General features: G+C 43.9%; 1 long non-coding RNA gene and 4 pseudogenes across 1 annotated transcript, besides 1 other annotated feature; 4 read left to right on the forward strand and 1 right to left on the reverse strand.

Annotated features, from left to right (window-relative positions):
• Positions 603 to 709, forward strand: RNU6-283P (RNA, U6 small nuclear 283, pseudogene; annotated as a pseudogene).
• Positions 8,121 to 8,415: a silencer, noted in NCBI's record as "tiled region #11702; HepG2 Repressive DNase matched - State 21:Repr, and K562 Repressive non-DNase unmatched - State 21:Repr". NCBI's record gives its function as "represses a minimal TATA promoter and a strong SV40 promoter by Sharpr-MPRA in HepG2 and K562 cells {active_cell/tissue: HepG2 | K562}" and the evidence as "EXISTENCE:reporter gene assay evidence [ECO:0000049][PMID:27701403]".
• On the forward strand, positions 8,186 to 8,497 carry FGFR3P1 (fibroblast growth factor receptor 3 pseudogene 1; annotated as a pseudogene).
• On the forward strand, positions 10,877 to 11,308 carry ZDHHC20P2 (ZDHHC20 pseudogene 2; annotated as a pseudogene).
• HLA-S (major histocompatibility complex, class I, S (pseudogene)) lies at positions 12,038 to 12,956 on the reverse strand (annotated as a pseudogene).
• LOC124901300 (uncharacterized) lies at positions 15,726 to 18,327 on the forward strand. The gene is made up of 3 exons (XR_007059542.1): positions 15,726 to 15,799; positions 17,732 to 17,817; positions 18,243 to 18,327. It is a non-coding gene; the product is annotated as an uncharacterized LOC124901300 (long non-coding RNA).
• The last annotated feature ends 4,730 nt before the right edge of the window (positions 18,328 to 23,057 follow it).

Here is a 23,057-nt window from a genome sequence, read left to right on the forward strand (position 1 = left end):
GATAGATAAATATGCCACTAAAGATATAGTAGAGGTTTAAATAATTTTGAGACTATGAACAAGATTATGGCAATGGGGAGAACTTACTACAAGTAAAGAAGTTAAAACAGTTGTAAAACTTTTTTTCCGTTCAGGCATATCCAGACTGTTTTACACATAAGTTCTACCAAAACTTTGAAGAAGGTTACTGAACTTATACGTAATATTCAAGAGAATGAGGAAACATAGAGAAAGCCAGTAAACTCATTATTGTTTATGTATAAATAACATTGATTCTAAAGCCAGCTAGGGAATACATAAGAGAAAAGCATGATAAGATAATCACTTCTAAGCAATTAGAGGTAAAAATACTGAGAAAAATAATACTAGATTGTGTCCACCAATGAGCTATAAATAAATTAAATATCCTGCCCAGGTTATTCATCCCCAGAATACAAGAATATTTAAACTTCAAATCTGTAATGCATTTTACCACTTAATTAAAGAATAAAAGACGGAGATAATGACATTTTATTAGATGCAGAAATTACTGCAGATGAAATTCAACACTCCATCTCACCCACATTTCTTCAGTTATCTCCACTTCTAAGAACTTGTGATCAGTACTCGCTTTGGCAGCACATATATTAAAATAGGAATGATACAGAGAAGATCAGCACGGCCCCTGCACAAGGGTGACATGCAAATTCATGAAGCATTCCATATTTTTAAACTCTCAATAAACTAGGTATTGAAGGAACATACCTCAAAATAATAAAAGTCATCTATGACAAACCCACAACCAATATCATACTGAATGGGCAAAAGCTGGAAGCATCCCCCTTTAACACCAGCACAAGGCGAGGATGCCTTCTCTCACTATTCCTGTTCAACATAGTATTGGAAGTTCTGGCCAGGACAATCAGGTAAGAGAAAGAAAGGATATTCAAATAGGAAGAGAGGAAGTCAAATTGTCTTTGTTTGCAAGTGACATGATCCTATATCTAGAAAACCCTATTGTTTCGGCTGAAAAGCTTCTTAAGCTGAAAGGCAACTTCAGTTAAGTCTCAGGGTACAAAATCAGTGTGCAGAAGCCATAAGCATTCCTATACACCAACAATAGACAAGCAGAGTCAAATCGTGAATAAACTTCTATTCACAATTGCTACAAACAGAATAAGATGCCTAGGAATACAGCTCACAAGGGAATTGAAGGATCTCTTCAAGGAGAACTACAAACCGCTTCTTAAGTAACTCAGAGAGGACACAGACAAATGGAAAAACACTCCATGCTCAGGGATAGAAAGAATCAATATTGTGAAAACGGTCATACTGCCCGAAGTAATTTATAGATTCAGTGCTATTCTCATTGAACTACCATTGACATTTCTCACAGAATTAGAAGAAACTATTTTAAAATTCATATAGATGATTGACATTAAAGGTAAAATTAAAATTAATATATAAAATAAAGCTCAAAATTTTCAAGCCATTTGGAGCTTGTCTTGAGCTAATGAGATTAAGCTCATGTCCTCAAGAAAAATGTTTTACTCTGCTGTTTTTAAGGGTGCTTCTATAGAAAGAGTTTGAGAATCATTAATATGGATTATAGAAAATTAATCATGCTTCATTTAAAAATAAATGTATTTAATCCTAAAGATAGCTTTACTTAAAATGTTTATTGTTGCAGACAAGAAATCTATCTTATTTGAAAAATCAGAAATTGGACATGTCAGTGATTATAGGTTTTTTTTAAAATCTGAACATGAAAAAGTTTTCCCCAGTTTTAAGATAATTTGCCATGCTATTCAAGTCAGCCTAAAATTTTAAAAAGCTACTACATAATAAGGTAGGGGTTGAAAAAAGAAATATTTCAGATTCAGAGAATTGTCTTTTTTTAGTACTAACTAAAACATTTAAAAAACTACATTTAATGATGTCATTCTAAATTGACTCAGTAATATTAAATGAGTTATTTATGTTCCAGCAAACAGTGGATGAATGTGACTATGGAGAGCATTGTTTCAAAATGTTTTAACAAATATATCATTGAAGTTCTTGCTATTTTATTCAATTTCAGCCACTATTCTTTTTAGTTGATTTTTTTGTCAATCTTAAATTTTCAAAAGAAATATTGTTTTCAAATTATTTTATATTTAATGAATAAAGTTATACATTACTGATTATTTAAATTGAAAAAAAATAAAAATAAAATTCATATAGAACCAAAAAGAACTTGTATAGCCAAGACAATCCTAAGCAAAAAGAACAAAGCTGGAGGCATCATGCTACTTGACTTCAAACTATACTACAAGGCTACAGTAACCAAAACAGCATGGTACTGGTACAAAAACAGACACATAGACCAATGGAATAGAATAGAGAACTCAGAAATAAGACCACACATCTACAACTATGAGACTTCAGTGGCCACATACAATAAAGAATACAGTCTATACAAAAATAGTTTAGAAAATGTAATTTTCACAGTTACCACATTATAATATTGAAAATGTCTAGTTTTCAACTTCAAAAAACATGGTTATGCATGTATGAAAGTATGACTCATTCACAGGAAAAGCAGTAGAAAGAAATTGTTCCTGAAGAACAATGGACTGACTTACTAGACAAAGACTTTGAATCAACTGTCTTAAACATAGTCAAAGAGCTAAAGGAAACCATGGACAAATAACTAAAGAAAATCAGGAGGACTATGTTTCACTAAATAGCAGAAATCAATAAATAATTGTGAAAAGGAAGCAAATGGAAATCTGGAGCTGAAATGTACGGGAAGCAAAATGGAAAATTGACTGGAGGGCTTCAAGAGCAGATTTTAGTTTGCAGAATGAAGAATCAGTAAACGCAAACATAGGCCAATTGAAATTGCCCATTTGAGGAGCAGAAGGGAAAAAGTATGAAGAAAAATGAACAGAAGAGGTCTAAGAGACAACATCAAGTATATGCATTTTGGGAGTTCCCAAAAGAGAGAAGGAAGAAGGGGGGAGAAAGAGTATTTGAAGAAATAATGACCCCAAACTTCTGAAATTTTTTTGAAAACATGAATCTGGGTATCCAAAACACTCAAACATTTAAAGTAGCAGTAATTCAAAGATGTCCACACTGACAGACATTATATTGAAACTGTCGAAAGTCAAAGACAAACAGAGCATCTTGAAAACAACAAGAGAAGGGACTCATTGGGTACAAGGATCCTCCATGAGATTAACTGCCAAGTGTTCTTCAGAAACCATGGAGTTCAGAAGACATTGGCCTGACAAACTTAAAGTTCAGAAAGAAAAAAAAACCTGTCTCAACTGACAGTTGCATATTTGACAAAACTCTCCATGAGAAATAATGGAGAAATTCAGACATGCACAGGTAAATAAAAGCTGATGGCATTCGTCTCTGGTAAACCTATTCTACAATTAATGCTAAAAGGAGTGCTTCACACTGAAATAAAAGGACATTAGATGGCAACTTGAAGTCATATGAAGCAAAGAAGTACACAGCTAAAAGTAACTTCATAGGTAAATAGAAAAGCAAGTATTTTTTGGGGGGTGGTAATTTGTAACTCCTCTTTTGTTTTCTCTATTTAATTTAAAAGAAAATGCCCATCAACCGATGAACGGATAAACAACATGTAATCTATTCTGCAATGGAATATTATTTGACCACAAAAGGAATAATGTACTGATACATGCTACAACTTGGATGAACCTTGAAAACATGTCAAATGAAAGAAGCCAGTCACAAAAGGCCATATATTGTATGACTCCATTTTAATAAAATATTCAGAAGAAGAAAATCTAGAGAGACAGAAACTGGGTTAATGGTGCCAGGTGCTGGTGGCAGGGGAGAGTGGAAGGTGACTGCTTAACGGGTACAGAGTTTCCTTCTAGGGTGGTGAAAATGCTCTGGAACTTGATAGTGATGATGGCTGCATAATGTTGTGCACCTACTAAATGCTACTGCATTGTACACTTAAATGGTCACAATGGCAAATTTTGTATTTACGTGCATTTTACCACAACTAAAAAGAGGCTGGCAAATATATTCCAAGTTTGCTTGGGAATCTGCCCATCTGTCTTTTCCCCTCAGGATTTCATCTCTTATTCAGAGCTCACCCTTGCTCTTCTGCAAGTAGAAAGCCTCCTTTCATGCAGGGACCAGCCCCACAGGGTCAGTGGGTCTCTCCCTTTGTGTGGTGATGAGAGAGTGTAGAAATAAAGACACAAGACAAAGAGATAAAAGAAAAGACAGCTGGGCCCGGGGGACCACTACCACAAATGCGCGGAGACCAGTAGTGGCCCCGAATGTCTGGCTGCTCTGTTATTTATTGGATACAAAGCAAAAAGGGCAGGGTAAAGAGTGTGAGTCATCTCCAATGATAGGTAAGGACACATGGATCATGTGTCCACTGGACAGGGGGCCCTTCCCTGCCTGGCAGCCAAGGCAGAGAGAGAGAGGAGACAAAGAGAAAGACGGCTTATGCCATTATTTCTGCATATCAGAGACTTTTAGTACTTTCACTAATTTTCTACTGCTATCTAGAAGGCAGAGCCAGGTGTGCAGGATGGAACATGAAGGCAGACTAGGAGCGTGACCACTGAAGCACAGCATCACAGGGAGATGGTTAGGCCTCCGGATAGCTGCAGGCAAGCCTGACTGATGTCAGGCCTTCCACAAGAGGTGGAGGAGCAGAGTCTTCTCTAAACTCTAAGTCTGCTAAGTAGTGGGTGTTGTTCCTTGACACTTTTCGCTACCGCTAGACCACGGTTCGCCTGGCAACAGGCGTCTTCCCAGACGCTGGCATCACCGCTAGACCAAGGAGCCCTCTGGTGGCCCTGTCTGGGCATAACAGAAGGCTCTCACTCTTGTCTTCTGGTCACACCTCACTATGTCCCCTCATCTCCTATCTCTGTATGGCCTGGTTTTTCTTAGGTTATGATTATAGAGTGAGGATTATTATAATATTGGAATAAAGAGTAATTGCTACCAACTAATGATTAATGATATTCATATATAATCATATCTAAGCTCTATATCTGGTACAACTATTCTTGTTTTATATTTTATTATACTAGAACAGCTCGTGTCCTCGGTCTCTTGCCTCGGCACCTGGGTGGCTTGCCGCCCACACTTTCAGAACACGGTCCAAGATCAGCCAGGTCCAAACCCCAAAATGACTTTCTGTCTCGCTTCCAAATGCTCAGATGCAACTCTGGGGCTAACTTCAGGGGAAGTTAGGAGATTATCCAAATAAGATGGTTCACTGGGAGAAAGAATGTTTGGCTTTAATGTTAGGGAAGTTATGTTTGCATTTCTAAAAAGGATCCTGCTCACTAGTGAATATATGGTTTTTGTCTGTGCAGAATGGAGTTCTCAGCAGAGGAATGAAAGACAGCCCTAGGAACATGATACACCTCATGGGTAGCTGACTGACCCACCCATCTGCCACCCCCAGCTGAAGGAAGCAGCTAGACTGTACCCTTCACCCATCCTTCAGTTGTATTCCACTGGACGTGGACCCTCTACAAGTGTGGACATTCCTGGATCTCAGTTGCTCTTCCTGCTGTTGAGGAGTCTCCACTGGTGTGGCTCATGCCTAGATGGGCTCTGCAGGAGGCTTAGTGTCTCCCAGTTCTCAAGGCTAATATTCAGTGAACCCAGACCAAGCCTCAAAGTACACAGGGGCTCAGATTTTCATCTATGAAATGGAAGAATCCATCTCCCTCTTTCAGGTGTAGTGGTAATTATATATATACATATATATAGACACACACATTTATACACGAACACATACATGACAATCAGTAATCTATATATTGATGGTGTTCTTAGTGTTGCCTTTATTGCTCAGCTGAACTCTATAACCAAAAATTGGATCATGGATTGTGAAGGAAGAACTCATTTCTTTTCTCTGGTGGAGCACTCGGTAGGCATTTCTGCCCTTTGGGTTCAAATGAGAAAGTAGCTTTAGCCTGAGGGAGAAAGAAGATTATGACTATTATTATTATTATTATAATAGAGATAAGGTCTTGCTATGTTGCCCAGGCTGGGGTGCAGTGACTATTCACAGCTGTGATCATAGTGGACTACGTCCTTGAACTTCAGGGCTCCAGCAATGTTCCAGCCTCAGCCTCCTGAGTAGCTGGGACTACAGGTGCATGCCACCATGTCTGGCCTCATTTCATTGTTATTTTACTTCAAATGCTTTATTTTAAATGTTAAAATATATGTTTTTATATTCAAAAGTGAAACCCTATTTGATCACAGAAGACTTTAAGATGCACAGACAGTTAGAAACATCACCTAGACCTTTCTTTAAAAAATCACTGCTATTATATTGTTGAACCTTTGTAGACTGCAGTGCAAATGGTGGTCCCTGGAGCTGTCTTGTGCAGTGGTGCTGATTTTCATTTTGTTATTTTCTATATATGTATTTTTATATATGCTGTCATTTTACAAAGTTGCATTCATATGTTAAGGGTTATCTTGGATGTTGCTTTTGGAATGTATTATTATACAAGTAGTTTTCCATGTTATAAGCTCTGCATAAAGTTTATACACTTTTTCAAGCCATATCCCATTTCAGATAAGAAGATGTAACCCAACTTCTTTTTTTGGATCCGTCTGCCTTCATTTCGTCTTGTTGTAAATAATGTTTTGACAAGCATCTTTATATAGAAAGATTCTTCTATGTTTGGAATTTTAGAAAATTCATAGAATACTCAAGTGATAAACATTAGGACACAGACTTTTAAACATTTTTAATTATTTTCATCACATTGTCACATTGGTTCTCTAAATCGTCATACTGACATATTCCACCTCACCTTTCAGGACATGCTAGGACTCAAGGCTATTTACGCATCTGGAATCACAGAGGGGTGTTGGGGGTGAATGTTGAGTGGAATCACAGGGTCTTGAGGGCAACTCCCTCAGAGAAGACCATTACCTTTTCCTTAGGGAAAGCTGGATTAACTTCGCCAAATGTGGTTGAATGTAACTGGCAAATAATTCTCAGAGGAATTTAGGAGTTCAGTGTCTTTAGCTTCATTAGGATCTGCCCAGATGTCCCCATTCTGATTTTCAGGATCCCATTTATTCCCAATCAATGCCTTCACTTAAATAACAGATATTCTTTAAGTTTGGGATTTGTTTTGTGTTGTAATTTAGCTACCCACAGAATGAGACGCTGCGTTTATTTTTCAGAAATTTCAGCCCTGCAGCTACAGGAGATTAGGATTTCATTCAAAGGAAACATAGAAACTTTTAGGTGATTTATGTGACTCATGAGCTGGAAGTTTGCAGCCCTGAGTTCATCTTTTTCTTTCCGCATTTTGTCCAGCACAATTGGCAAAAATTAGCTAATCACCTTACAATAGCTAGTTTAACAAAGTCTTCTAAGGTCTCAAATACATAGTCACCCAGATCTTATAAGTATTTGATTAGGTCTATCCAATGGTGATATTCTGAGTATTCACACTCTCTGTACTAATGGAAATAGAGTCATTTGTGCCTTTAAATCCAAATAGATTAGAGAAACAATTCAAGAAACCCCCCCCCCCCCCGCACCAAATTCAGTACATTCATTCTTAAAATTCTGTTCCAGTGTCCCTATGCCCCAGTAAGCTAGGCTGGGCATGGTCTGAGGCTTGGTGGGCCAAGGACAGCTGGCTCAGCTGGGGTGCACTATGCACTGGTGGGTCAGCAGCCCAGAATGGTGCTGGGTTTATGGGCACCAAGCCTATTCGGGAGTTGCACACACTGAGTCGGGCTCCAGTGGCCCCTAGGCTTCTAAGGGGCACTCTCCTCCTGCTAGTGCCAAGCTAAGCTGTGGGGAGCAGCATGCCTCTGCATGCTGCCTGACAAACTGCAGCCCCAGCCGCTGCCACAGACACCCTGGCCTGTACCCTAGTGCTTTGTATGGCTGTGGCTGTTCAGCCCCTACTTCTGATCCCCTAGGACTGGGAGCAGCCCGCCTGGGGGAGACCATCAGGATGTCTATGGAAGGCTGCTTCATGCTACAAGGGCAGAGTTAAGTCTTTGGTATAGAGACTGGTTGGCAAAGTTGAAAATGTTGCCCCAGGTCCTTTTGGGGATTATTTACCAGCCCCTGGTTTGAGTGTTGTCTGGCAGGACCCAGGCTCTGGGAGCTGATCCTCCCTCACTCAAGGCCTGCTGCAGCCTCCCGCTGAGGTCTTGAAACCATCAGGAGCAGTTGTTCTTTGGCCTCCGGGACACCGCAGGGCTGAGTTGCTCCCTGCCTGGAGGTGGTCCCATGGGGCCCACTGTCTGGGTCAAGGATGGTGCAGAGCTGGTGTCCTCAAAATGCATCCTGGTGGAGCCCCAGCAGCTGCAGGTGCTGACTGCCTCTCACGAGGACCCTGGGGGCCTGCAGCTGCAGCGACTCACCCAGCATGAGCGGTGCCACTCAGTGTGCACATGACAGATGCTCCATCCTCAGGAGATGACAAAGACGGGAGGACAAGGTGAAGACACAGGTGCATCATCTCCTACTCACCTCATCTGGCACATTAGAAACCTGTCCTCGGCTCATGCACAAATCCACCTTTGGGTGGCCACAGGCTCCAGCTTACTACAGAGGCCATGTGTACTCTGTGTAATCAACACACCCCAGCTTCTTCCCACCTCCAGTCATCTCACTGTATCTGACATGATGCCAGCAGATTGTCTCAGCTCAAATTCCAGCTCCATTACTTACTGCTGTGTGACCTTGACCAAGTCACTTAACCTCTCTGTGCTTCACGAGCTTCCATTGTAAATGTGTGTGTTTACATATGCCAAGTACCCAGAAAGATGTCTGGAACATGGCAACACCCACCACAGAAGTAGTAGCTGCAATTATTGCCTCCTTAAAACAGTGGAGATGTCACCCATCGGGGCTAGAGAGAATTTGGGAAATCCTGATCTGCTTCTGGTTTCAGGTGGGGAATCCTGTAGGACCAGCAGGAACACGGCTGCCTCAGTGCAGCTGGCACAGGGCACTGCCAGCCCAGAGCAACTCAGAGCTCAGAACACTCTGGGGTCCGAAGTCCGAACTGCTGGGGCTCAACTGTGGCGTCAGTTATGGAATGTGGACCCCTCCCTAGGGAGTCTCCCAGGCTCAAAGTCTTCCCTCAACTCCAGAAATGCAAACCCAACACTGACCTCACGGAGTTCTGAAGGTTAAGGAGGAGACACGTGAAAAGTGCCTGGTGGACACCAGGGATGCCAGTGAGATGGGGGACAATGGTGAGGCAGAGTGGAGGGGCAGGTGCCCCCTCCTCAGTATGTCTCCCCCAGGTGCTGTGAGGACAGGTGGAGGCTGTCTCCAGGCTCTCACCCGGCCACACACCAGCACGTCTCCAGGTTCCTCTCAGCCCCGGTTACCCCCAGCCCTGCAGTTAATCCCTGAGCTGGGAAGGAGCCCTTGAATCCACCCTGTCCTGTGTCACAGTGTCGTCCACTTGGGCTCACATTGCCACTAGGCCACTTGGCAGCCAAGGGATGGAGCCACGTTTTGTACTTTCTGAAACATGGCTTCACCTTCAAGTGCGGGTGATGACAGTGCCACAAAGAACAAATGTTACTGTCTATCCTCATCAACCATAATTTTCCAGTTTTCCAACCCTCAGTGAGCAAGGAAGAGCATGGCTTCCACCAAAGGGCGTGAGGTCAGCAGTCACAGGGGCAACCAACAGGCAAAGACCCCTGAAAATAGACCCCGCAGGGAAGCACAAGTATTCACTGACGGTGGGAACCCCACAGATCTGGCCGTCTTCAAGCACATCAGAGAGATTGCCATGAGGAGCAACTTAGCCAGAAAGACTTATTTGCCTCCTCAAAAAGCGTAAAATTATGTAACATAATACTTTAAAAATTTCTATCAACACAAAACTAATCTGGGCGCAGTGGCTTCCGGTGAGCCACTGGGACAGACGGCATCGTCAGGAAGGCTGGCTCTGTGGTGCCTCAACCTGCCAGAGCCCAGGATGGTGGTGGCCTCCCCAGAAGCACCTGGCAACTCACCTGCACAGGGCCAGGGTCCCAGCTCCCCACACCCCAGCCACCACACCTTCTTCTGCTTTTTTTTTTCCCATTATTGTTTCTTTCTTTCTTTTTCTTTCTTTCTTTTTTTTTTTGTCAAATCTCAAGGAAAAATACATAGTTGCCAGAGGGTGGAAGGTCCTGTTCATTCACATTGAAAAGCTCGGGTATTTCTATTAGAATCACATGTTTTACTTGAGGTTGCTGACGCCTGTGTCCATCTCAACCTGGGCATTGTGCTGCCACCTTCCAGAAGAGAAAAACTAGGTAGTGCCTTGTGAAGGGGCAGCGTTTCTCATTTCCGACAACGTCAGTCCCACAGCCACCCAGATGAGTAGATGGGGGACACAGGGGAGGACCCAGACCTGCTCTCCTCCCACAGCACATTCTTGAGTCTTGGAAAGAGTTGTGAAAATGCCACAGGTACAAACACCTGCAGGCCACTCCCACAGGGACAGCTCCGTGAGGCGGTGCCGCTCATTCCCACAACCTCCTGCCACAGGCAACACTTAACACTTAGACAGTGACCCAAGGCCGACCAGGGAGGACGCCAGCCAGGATGTGTCATCCTCAGCTCTTCAGGACATGACGCCAGCAGGGGCAAAGTTATCCCTAGCAACAAGACAGAGGAAGAAAGGAAAACGGAAGAAAGGACAATGTCACAGTAGCCCCCATGACCAAGAGAGACGGTTCCAGAAGTGCAGGGCAACTCCATATGCAGATGCTGTTGCTGTGCGATTACACTCCAAGAGGGGAGTCCAGCTGGCTCTCAGGGTGCTCACTGCCCTCAGCTGGGTGCCTGCAGGACATCAAGTCCTGAGAACGCCAGGTTCTAGTGGAGTAGGATGAACTGACAGATACACAGCAAAGCTCCACATACTTTTCCTTTTCTTTGTGCCTGCAAAGTTCTTGTTCAGTGTCTCTCTCTTTCAGCTACTACTGCTGGTTGGTTTTAAAAAAACAAGACAATAGTAAAAATTGGAGACAAGTGTTTGGCCATAAAGAGAAACACTGGCTACCTCCCGTATTTTCAAGCATGGGTGATGGTTGCAAGGTGATCCAGCTCACCTTGTAGGGGATGAATCCAGAAAAAGCCTCTGTTACAAATCAAAATGGACATGCCGGAAGTATTAGCTCAAATCAACCTTGTCCTGTCTAACCACTTACTGACCCAAGATACCACTTGGACTATTAATCTCAGGGGCCAGAGAATGGAGCTGGAGAAGGAGTTGTTAGATCAGGGACAAATAACCATGTTATAGTGGCAACAGGAAATGGAAGACCATTTATTCATAACCATTTGAATCACAGCCAGGTGTATAAACACACATCATTGACTGATAGTTTCAGTTCTATGCCCAAGAAAATCATCGATGGAGTGAAGTAATTGAACTATCACAGAAGATACATTTGTATTTTTTCTTTTTTCAACTTTTAGATTCAGGGGGTGTGTATATATATAATATTTGTGTATATAAAATAATATATATATAATTAAAGAAAGCCTTTGTACAGTTTGCTGGAGCCACAGAAGCACTGCTCCAGAGCAGAGCAATGCCTTAAATCTTCAGTGTTCATTTGTAGAACATTCACTCACAGCTACAAAAGTGACTTAATTTTCTTCTGGAAATAATGCTTGCCTGTTGTGAGATGTTGGAATATATATGAACCATCATTACATGTTAACATGCCATAAGGAGTTTTTGATACCTGATTCACATTATTAGAGTTGCTTCTTAGTATCCATGTGAATTTTCACTCCAAAAACACAAGCTAGAAGCTTAAGTGAAGGACACCTAGGGCAAATGGTGGCTGAAAGTGAGGAAGATCCAAATTACTGTTGCTTGTACTGTATTAGGAAAAGAAAACAATTCTTTTCTTATTTGCCAATTTAATTCTTAATTTGCTAATTTGTAGTTATGCTTATATACATTTCAACATTTTAATAAAGTATTTTTTATGGTTAGCTATAAAATTTTTAAAAAGATTCTGTTCCTCTAGAACCACTCTTCGTACCACAGTCTCTATCAGTCCAGATTCTTCAGAGAAGCAGAACCAATAAGGTGTGTGTGTGTGTGTGTGTGTGTGTGTGTGTATTTGTATTCATATTATGATATTTATTCATGTGATTATTAGGGCGGTAAGTATGAAAATCTGCAGGATAAGCTAGCAGGCTGAAAACGCAGAAAGAAGATGTTCTAATTCTGAGGCAGGATTTCTTCTTCTCTGGGAAACCTCAGTTTCTGCTCTCAGAGTCTTCTACTGATCGGATGAGGCCCATCCACATTATTGATGGTAATTTTCTTTTTGTAAAGTCAGCTAATTCAGCATGGGGAAGGGGGTCATGGTAGACATGGGGGAGGGCTGGTCTCTCCACCTCCTCACACTAGGCTAACAGGGACACAGACACATTCAGATGCCTTTGCAGAAAGAGACACCAGAGGCTCCTGAAGTCACAAAGGGGCGGCATGAAGAAATCCTGCATCTCAGTCCCTCACAAGACAGCTGCCTCAGGCTACAGAAAACAATAGTCATGAACAAATTCAGGTCAGTGGCCATAAAGCGTAACACTCTGAACTCCCCACTACACACTCAAAGTGTCCCAAAGAATCACCGTAATCCAGTCTTGTCCCCTGTACCCCATCCCCCTTCCACATAAGGCCCTCCAGGACGCCACCTTTACAAGCTGTGAGAGACACATCACAGCCCTGGTCACTGTCACTGCCTGGGGTAGAACAAAAACAGGACCCGGTCAGAGCCTGCAGGAGATGTGGGAGAGGAGGAATTATGGCATAGGTGAGCTCCTCCACATCCGTCTCCCATAGTTACACACAGCCTGAGCACCTCCTTCTCTGCCTCTGGGAAGAAATCATCCTGTGAGGGGCTAGGGAAGAGACAGGGCCATGAGGTCCTAGAGGAACCCCCTAGTCTTGGACCCCAGAGAAGTTTCCAAAACTGTGACTGCAGACCCAGGGCAGGAAACATGAAGAAAGCAGGTGTGAGGACTGAACCAACTGCACGGTATGTAAAGACATACTTGGTACATAGTAGATACAAAGTTAGCTTTGGTCTTTGGTGAATTCATGAATATGATTGTATTAAAATGTAATTGCATTGCATAAACATTATAAAATGAAGAATACAAAAAATTAGGAAAGATTTTATCTTATACAAGGAGTGTACATTTCAATTCACTAATTTATTCCAATCGAGAAAATGTTATATGCTTATCTGTTGGTCTATGTATGAATTTTCTGTTACTGCATAACATATTACCACTAACTCACTGGCTCTACACAGCACCCATTTATTTCTCTACATTTCCTTAATGAGAAATCCAGGCCTGGTGTGAATGATTCTCAGCTCAGGATTTCACGAAGCTGTGTCCTCATCTTGAGGCTGGGGTCCTCCTTCCAGCTTATACAGAGCTTGGTGGCAGAATTCAGTTTCAGGCAGTTGTGGGATTGTAGTCCTTGTTCCTGGGCAGCTGTCAGGTGGAGGTGGGGTGGAGCTGTTCTCAATTCCTGGAGCCCGTCATATCCTTTGCCACATGGCCCCTTCATTTTCAAAGCTCACAGCGGAGGAAGCCCCTCACGTTGAATTTCGCTCACACTGTGAATCTCTTTGCTGAAGAAGAAATAAGTTGTTTTAAGAGCTCACCTGATTAGGACAGTCCAAGGCAGGATAATCATGGTCTTAAAGTCAACTGATTTGGGACCTTGCTTATATCTGCAGAATCCCTTCACAGCGGCACCTACAGTAGTGTTGATTGAGTAACTGGGGAAGGTGAATCACCAGGGGTGGTTATGTGGGGGCCATCACTGAATCATCCTCGCATAGCCAGGATCTTCCTTTTGTGTTTAATTGGGTCGTGGTAGGAAACTGAAGTTCAAATAAATAGGTTGTTGTGAATGTTAATAAAATACATCCTATTGATACATGGAAATACTGAAATCTTAAAACCAAATAACACTGAATATCTTTTAGTTAATTTAGAATAAATAAAAATTAAAGTGTAGTAATTCATTCTCTCTTTTGAAGCGCTATTGTCTATTGTTGTATAATAAATAACATGAAGTTTGACAACCCAAAACAACAAATACTTATCATCTCCCACAGTTTCCAGTGGTCAGGAATCTGGGAGAGATTTCCTTGAGTGCTTCTGGCTCAGGGCCTCTCACAAGGTTTATTGGGGGACACACCTGTCAGAGAATATGGGGAGGGAGCCAGAGAACCCTGGGAAAAGTGGCACATCCAGAGGCAAGGCCGACTCCAGTCCTGGACAAAAGGAAAGAAGGGTTGTTGGACGCATCCTAGACCACAGGCAATCTGAGGAGAGTTGAGCAAGGCCATGGAGGAGTCCTCCAGCCACAGATGGCCAACAGAGGAGTCTCCTGTTGCCCAGGAATGGTCTGTCTTAGTGTCCCTGCTGTTACGTGTCAGTGGCTGGGAACAGCCCATGGGAAGCAGGGCCTCTGCACCAATGCTGCTGAGAATGACAGAGCACGGGAGGGAGGCCTTGGGAAATTTCCTGGAAATGCGGCTCCAATCTTCCTCCTGAGGGGTCTGGGCCTTTGGAAATCAAACGCTGTCAGACTGGGTTGCTGGACGATTCTGTTCACATTTACAATGGGACAAGGGAAACAAGGAGGCCCCCAAGTGAATCTCTGGGTTCCACACAAACTCCTCCTGCCCTTACTGTGTATCAGCAGCCCTGCCTCGTCCTGGGGATGAGGGTCCATCACTCCTGCCTGGAGAGGAGGGGAGTGCTCTTCTTCCCTGCTTGTCTCTAGGCCCATACAGTCCTGTGGGCAACTGTAATGTGTAGCTCAATGGGCTCTTGTTTGTCCCCTTGTCTGAGTGCCTCCCTGTGGAAAACCAGGACCTCCTATACTACAAAGCCCAGATTTGGGATATGAGAAGTCCAAGTTCCACAGTGGGTGAATATAAGGGATGGGACATGCAGCCACACTCTCTTCCATCCCTTGGTTTCTGGACCCAAGTTTCTTCCTACTGAGAATACAGCACCGTAGTGATGTCTCTGATTCAATAAATGCACCGTGCCCTGAAAGATGGCACCCATTCCTCAGTGTTTCCTCCAAGCTGGTTCTGAGTTGTGCCTGTTGAAGGCCTGTCCAATGTTCTGTGTGGCCGGCAGCCCCCGCAGGGTGCAGATGGTGATAGGATCAGTGGATCCCCTGGTCATGGTCCATGCTGCACCCACTTCCATTTCCCTGTGAGGTGGGTCCCCCAGGAAGAGGCTGTGCTGAGAGTAATTCCAAACCTGTGGATCAGGAATGTCAGTGGTGCTGGCTGAGAGTCTGAGAATAGTGGGGGAAAAAGCCTACCCATGGAGGAAGTTTCTGTCCCAGTGAGGATGAATCTCTGGCCCTTCCATGATGAGGCTTAATGTGGTCAATGTGTCATTTAGTGGCACTTTGATCACCTAAAGAAATAGTGCCTAAGCAGGGCACATCAGGGCCTATCACGGGTGTCTAATCCTGACAAGTTGGATATTCAGAGGTGGCAGCAGCTAGTTCGGCCTTGGTAGGTGGGAGTCTCACCTTTTGGAGGCTACCTATGGGTCCAGCAGCACTGACTCCCACCGACCAAGGCCACTGAGTGACCTGGAAGGATGGGCACATGAAGGGAGCTATTGTGATTCCTGCATGCATGTTCCCACCCTGCAAGGCCTGAGATGGCCCCCAGTGAAGGCTGGCTAACTTCCATTTGTCTGCTTGGTTGTTCAGTGCCACCTCAGGGGCAGGTATTTTCTGGGCAGATGGGGTGTTAACTTGGGGTTTGGGCTCATTCCACATGGACCATTTCCATCTCATGATGGACACTGTTGGGCCTGTCCAATCTATAACTCTGTAGGTCACACAGAAGCCAATTCATACAACCACTTGGAATTACGTGGTTCTCAGTGTCCTGTGGTCAAGAATTCTATCTGATCAGGGCCAGCAACACTAAAAGTTGCTTCGAGAAGGGGGCATATATTTCTGCTGTGGATGACATGAACTTACTCCAGAATCCCAGGCCCTCCATTGTGACTTTCCCCACTGATGCTCAGTTCACTCCATCCTGCATCTTTCCCCAGCCCTGCCACCTCCAGCACCAGGGGGTCTGAGGGATGGTGGCTGCCTGCACCACAGCCTGGATCTGCTGCAGAGTCCTTTCCTGTGTAGGCTCCACTTGAATCTGGCATCCTCCTATGTCACCCAAAATGTGGCCAAAATGATATACCTAGATGTGGAATGTGGTGTTGTCAGAACCCAAAGAGATTCACCAGGCAGTCCGCTTCTCTCTCTTTTTTTTTTTTTTCTCACTGAAGATGAAAGATGCAACGGGTTTTTTTTTCTGTTTTCTTTTGTTTTTACTTGGAAGAAATATCTCTGCATGCACCTAGCCACTGGACCCATAAAATTTCACTGCAGTTGCCACTCCTAAATTTCTGTAAGATTTATCCTCCTCTTTCTGGGGTGCATGTGTTTTACCAAGACCTCCAGCATACTTTCCACCTTCTTTCTCATCCATCCCAATCTATGATGTTGCCAATGAAATGAACAGATTTAATATTCTGTAGAATGTCCGGCATCTCTTAAGACTATGTTACAGATGACAGAAGAGTTATAATAGCTCTCAGGGAAAGTGTAAATAAATGTGGTATGAATGTGAATAACTCCATATCCACTTTCTAGCTGGAAAGGAATGCACTCAGCAAATCCTCGGCTGCACACCATTGGCCTGCAGCCTCATTAACTTCTGCTAGCAGTGATATCCAGCCAGCATGGCAGCTGCAATCAAGACCACTACTTGGTCAAGTCTGAAGTAATCCTGTTCATTCTTTAGGTCCTATTGGGCTTCTGCAAGGACAGAATACACGGAGATAATAGGCAACTCCAGCACTATCCCACCTCCTACAGCTCTCTAATGGTGGTGCTACCCCCCACAATACCTGCAATAACCTCCAAGACCTGCCCTGGGACGTAATATCGCTTCGGTTGGGATAGGGGCAGTTTCAGAGGTTTCCCTTTAGCCTTCAGCGCAATAAGAGCCATTAATCCACAGGTTAGAGACGCGGTGTGGGGGTCACTCCAGCTGCCAGTGCATCAATGCCATTATGCACTCAAGGAATAGGGAACTAAACAGGGCTGGGACTACGGGATTGTGAGCTATAATGTGTCCTGGCCTCTGGAAGCCCCTCTGTGATGGGACACGATGGTGCTGTAGGAATCTGGGCATCAATGTTAGTTCACACACAAAGTCAATACTCACCCAAATTCTGCCTATTTCCCTTTCCCGGTGTACAGTCTCCTGTGTAAATGGCTGTAGGTTCCTTTGCAGAAGAGTTCAGGGAATTGACCCAGCATATACTCCCAGGGTGTTCCAGGGTTCTTCCTCCTAGGGATATGGACTCCCCTCCTCTGTCATTGGGATCTGAATCTGAAAGTTAGGTGAGGTCTAGGCATTGAGAACAGATTATGACTTTGTCTTGGATCAAACACCCTCAGCCTCCTGCTCCTCAATTCTTGCTTTCTTTTCATAGATATCAAGCAGCGCCCTTGCTGGCTGTCCTTCTGTTCTGAACCTGGGACACTGCCCTCTGTTAACCTTCCCCACACTCCCTGCAGGTCAAGCACAACCTTGCCTGCTCTGTTGGGGTTGTCATGGTAACTGTGACCTCTGACTTTTGCAGATCACTGCCACCACTTGATCTAGCTGAAGTAGTTCTAGCTGGAAGAATAGAGAATTAAAAGAAATCTTTGTGAAGCCACCACTCAGGTTTGTCAATTTGTAACATTTTAATATTATTGGCTATATGTAGTATACATAGAAAATAATAGAAATATATGCAGATAGCCCTGATTTTCCACAGTTCTGTTATGTATGTGTTTCAGTCGATACTGTACTGAGTAAAGCAAGGACTGCCAGTGGGGAGTGGCGGATGTCTTGAATTTGGTGAATGCCTTTATATTGTTACAAAGTTTTTAAAATCCCTTTGTTTTACATGATTTTAGACTTCGTATAAATTGTTTTTTGTTGAATGTATCATTCTGTGGCTTGCTTTATCATTTAATATGGTTTATGAGGTGAACCCACACCCATAGAAACAGTTACTTTGTTTTCAGTTCTGGATAGTATTCATGGGAGGAATATCCCACAATTTATCTCTTCTGTCCGTGACCTTTAGCTTGTTTCTGTTACAGACACTGCCACAATGAACATCCTGGGTCATCTCTCTCTGGTCCCCTGTGTGAGTTCCCCAAGATATGGATGTAGGAATGGGATTACTGTGCTTTTACCATGTGGTGTTATAGGATGTCAAATTGTTCTCTGAAGAGGTTGTATCAGCTCCCCGCTTTAAAATCTTCTTTGACATTTTACAGGTCAAGTTCTCTTCCTCCCCAACTGGCTGCTCCTCCTCAGTCCCCCTTCATTGGCTCCTTTTGCTGTAGATGCTGGAGCACTCTGGGGTGTTACTACCTTCCTAATCACTCCGGTGTCCTCCACTCTCAGGATTTTAAATATCATCTAGACACAGATGGCTCCCAAATATATATCTCTACATATTTCTATAATCAAAAAAATAATGGTACCAAAACAGGTACTCTGATATACTGCAGATGGGCCTGCAAACTGGAAATGTTTTCAGGAAAGGCAGTATGGCTATTTCTGTCCAAATTAAAAATGCATACACCCAGTAGTCCCACTTCTAGAAATGTGTCCAAAACACACCTGCATTCCTGAAAAATGACTGTATTCAGAATTATATGTTGCAACCCTGTTTGTAAAAGCAAAAAGAAAAGAAGAAAGAAAATGACAGATAAAAGAAAAAATAATCCAAATGTCTGTCACTAGGGGACTGGTTAAAAAAGCATTGCAAGCTGGGCACAGTAGCATTCACCTGTGAATACACTCTACTCCACTCTGGGTAACATAAGGAGGCCTCCCTTCTTAAGAAAACCCAAACAAGCACTGCATAGCTACACGGCAGAGTCTACAAACATTTAACACAAAAGAAGAAAGACATAGAAAACTCTTGATATTCCCTCATGAAGAAATAAAGCAAGGTGTAGAATAACATATAGAGTCTGCTAAAATTTGTGTGAAAAGGGACAAAGGATATATATGTACACATTTATATTTGCTTGCATATGCATAAAATATATTTGGAAGAATAAGCAAGAAGTTAATATCCTTGGTTGCCTGTTGGGGATGAGACAGGGTAAGAGAGAGACATTTTACCTTTTGAACATTTTGAATTTTGAATTTTGAACTATATCAAGAAATAAAAGATAATTCCTAAGGAGACCAAACAAACCCCCAAAAAATTCAAAATGAAAAACTTTTTAAAAACTAATGGAATTTTTTAACCTTTATCGAAATAAAATTTAAAAATTTTCTAAATATTATGTTATTCCTTTAACAAGGAGGTTTACCGCCATTTTAATTCAGTACGTTGTTTTCTTTTTAATTGCATGATCTTTCTTTACATCTGTCTTTTTTCCATTACAAGGTAAAATAACAGCATGATTAATTAAATGCAGTTTGTTTGGTGAAGGAAATTTTGTTCAAATCTTGGTCTAAGTGGGAAAGGGATTCTAGGGGATCCAGTGCAGCAGTTATGGGTTTCAGTATGCTCACGACGCCCTCCAGTGTTTGTGTGGGCTCATGGATGCCATATCTAGAAAACACTGGAATTCTCAAGCACACGTGACTGAAGCCATTTGCCAAATGTTCAAGGTCCTATTAATGGCCCATCTGAGTACTTGTCATACGCGGTCACCCTATCTTTGGATCAGAAGGTACACTCAGAGCTCCTAGTGTCACATCCCAGGCCCAACCTGCTGAGATTAGTCGAGGAAGGTCTGGAGGTCAGTGTCGTGAGGGGTGGGAAGACTGAGGGTGTGGGGGCCAGTTGTGGAGTGGCGGGAGCCCCAGGTGCTGTATGAAGCCGAGCCTCTGGATCACCCTGTGACCCCACATTTGGTCCCTTCCTGGGTGTCTTCCATTCCCAGGACTCCCAGGAAATAAAATGCTGCAAGAATGGGGTGGGGAGCTGTCCAGGGTGGGTCAGGTGTGGTCGCACTGATCCTACACCTCTGCCTCCCAGCCCACTCCCAGCCCTCTTCTGATATTAGAAACCAACACAGATTGCCTTAGGGTGGTGGTTCTCAAAGTGTGGTCCTGGGGGAAGCAGCATTGGCATCACCTGGGAACTTAGATATGCAATCTTCAGGGCCTGGCCTGGACCTACTGTATCAGAAACTCTGCATTTAACAAGCCCCCAGCAGAATTCTGCTTTTCAAATCAGATCTCTCTCTCTCTCTCTCTCTCTCTCTCTGTCTCTCTCTCTCTCTCTGTCTCTCTCTCTCTCTCTGTCTCTCTCTCTCTCTCTGTCTCTCTCTCTGTTTCAAGTCTCAATATTGAGTAGCTGTGACTTCTGGATAGTCAGGTGTCAGACACCCTTTCTTGCCAGGAGGCACCAGGCTCCTCAATCAGCTTAGTCTCATTCTTGGCCTGGCCCAGGGAAAGATGTTCACTTCCTGGATTCTGAGCAAAGCTCTCCTACCCTGGGTGCCTGTGGGGCTCCCACTTAGACCACAAAACAAAGCTCAAATAATATTATTTTCTTTTATGAGATTTTTGGTATTCCTTCATTAGTCAGAGCTGAAGATCTACATATATGTCTACCAAGCAAGTGTGCATGTCCCACTAGCCAGTTTGTTAGTCTTGCCAATGCACCACAACGTAGCAGCCTCTCAGTCTCTCCTTGTGAGGTGTTACCTGGAGTTCTTTGTCTCACCACCAAGAGAATTAAGGAGCATGGATACAAAGGGTGAGGTTGGAGCAAAAGTTTAATAAGCAAAAGAAGAAAGCTCTCCCCCACGGAGAGGGGGCTTGGAAGATGGTTGCCATTTTTACAGCTGAATGCAAAGCCTTTTATAAGAAACTGATGAGGGCTGGGTGTCTCATTTGCATAAGGCACGAATTTCCGGTAGCTCCACCCCATCCTCCTAGTGCCCATGCAGGCCCTTAGCTTAAGTTACTCCATATTGCTTTGTTTCCCTGACTGCCCACGTATCGGGGGACAGAATTTTCCATTGCGGGCATGTCTGGGCAAGTCTCCTGTGCAGCCTTTCTTATTTGTGCAGCTGTGGGCATGTCTTAGGCAAGCCCCCCTGTGCAAGTTCCCTTCTTTGTGCCTGCAGGCCGTTCTTTTGTTTGAAATAATTCAACTGAGGACCCACCATAACTGCCCGCCTGACCAGTTTCTTCCTTTTTCCTCTCTCAATTTGTGTTATGATTTCCTTACTGATCTCTGCCTGAGCAAGACTGGGCACGCCTTGAGGGCAAGGAGGGTTTATTTCCTCTTATCTCAGTCCCAGCTCCTCTTAAAACAATGCCCTGCACACAGTAGGTATTTGATAAATGTTTACCAAATGAAGGGATTGCCTGGAATGGCTTGGCAGACAGGAAAGCAGAATGAAAACCCACAGGCCAAAAGTGGCTGGGAAAAGATTTTCCAAATCCTAGTGATGGGCACAGGGCCCCCTAAAGTTCACTTTTGGAACCTTCCCATCTGTCTTGTTCTCCTTTCATCAGGGACATCCATGCCCCTCAAAGCCCCCCTAGTCACACACTACCTTTCAGGACCACCTTCCAGATCAGCCAGGTGCAAATCCCACAGACTTCCTGCCTGTGGCTCCAAATGCTCAGCTGAAATTCTGAGGCTAATTTCAGTGGAGTTAGAGGCTTATCCCTTAGGAGTGGCAATGGCTGGCTTTAAGATTCGAGAAGTAGTGTTTACATCTCAAAAGAGAAGACCGCGCCACCAGAAATGCAGAATTTTGGTATGTGCGGGTCCGGGGTCTTCAGGAGATAAAGAATGATAGCTCCAGGAGCGCTGGGACCCCCGTGCAGCCACCAGTCACCACAGCCTAGGCAGGGGTTGGGCTCTCACCTCGGCCCCTCCCCTGCACGCCCTGGATGTGGATGGTCCCCGAGTGTGAACTCGCCTGGGCTCTGACCCTGGGTGCCCTTCCCGCCGTTGTGGAGCCTCTGCGGGTGTGGTGCATGCACAGGGGGCTTCACAGGAGACCCGGGGCCCTTTAGAGTCTGAAGGCCAACATTCTTGGAGAATCCATGTCAGGCATTCAGGCTCTCAGGGACTCAGATGCCCAAACTATGAAAATGAGAGAATCTATCCCACTCTCTCAGGTGTGGTGAGATTCATATTATATGACAATCGGTCGTCTACACATTGATCACACTCTCAGTATTGCCTTTATCAGTCGGCCAATGCCTAAAACCCAAAGACGGGTCAGGCATGGTGGAGGACGAGTTCCTTTCTTACCTTCTGAAGGTGCCATCAACAGGAATTTCTACCCTGTGGAGTCTAGAGGAGACTTTCCTTGAAGCTGAGTTGGGAATGGACATTTGGACTTTTTTTTTTTTTTTTTTGAGACAGAGTTTTGCTCTTATCACCCAGGCTGGAGTGTAGTGGCACGATTTTGGCTCACTGCAAGCTCTGCGTCTCGAGTTCCAGCGATTCTCCTGCCTCAGTCTCCTGAGTAGCTGGAATTACAGACACCCACCACCACATCCAGCTAATTTTTTGTATTTTTAGTAGAGACAGGGTTTCGCTATGTTGGCCAGGCTGGTCTCGAACTCCTCACCTCGTGATCTGCCCGCCTCGGCCTCCCAAAGTGCAGGGATTACAGGCATGAGCCAATGCGCCTGGCCAGACGTTTGGACTTCTTTAAAATTTTATTTCAAATTTTTAAAACTTTCTAATAGGTATTTTATCTTCTTAGGAAGTAAAATCTCAAGTACAGAAAATATAAAAAGGTATAAAGAAGCAGAAGGATGGAAACTGCCAGTGTCTCCACTGGGAGGATCGGGATGAAACGTTGCCTGGCAGAGCCTCAGACTTCAGAGGGAAGGGGCCTGGAGCTGTGCTTTGCAGCTGCCCCTGAGTTTCCACTCCTGGTTTTTGTGCATGCGGGTGACTGTGCAGG

This window comes from Homo sapiens, chromosome 6, assembly GCF_000001405.40.
Source record: "Homo sapiens chromosome 6, GRCh38.p14 Primary Assembly".
Lineage (NCBI taxonomy): Eukaryota > Metazoa > Chordata > Mammalia > Primates > Hominidae > Homo > Homo sapiens.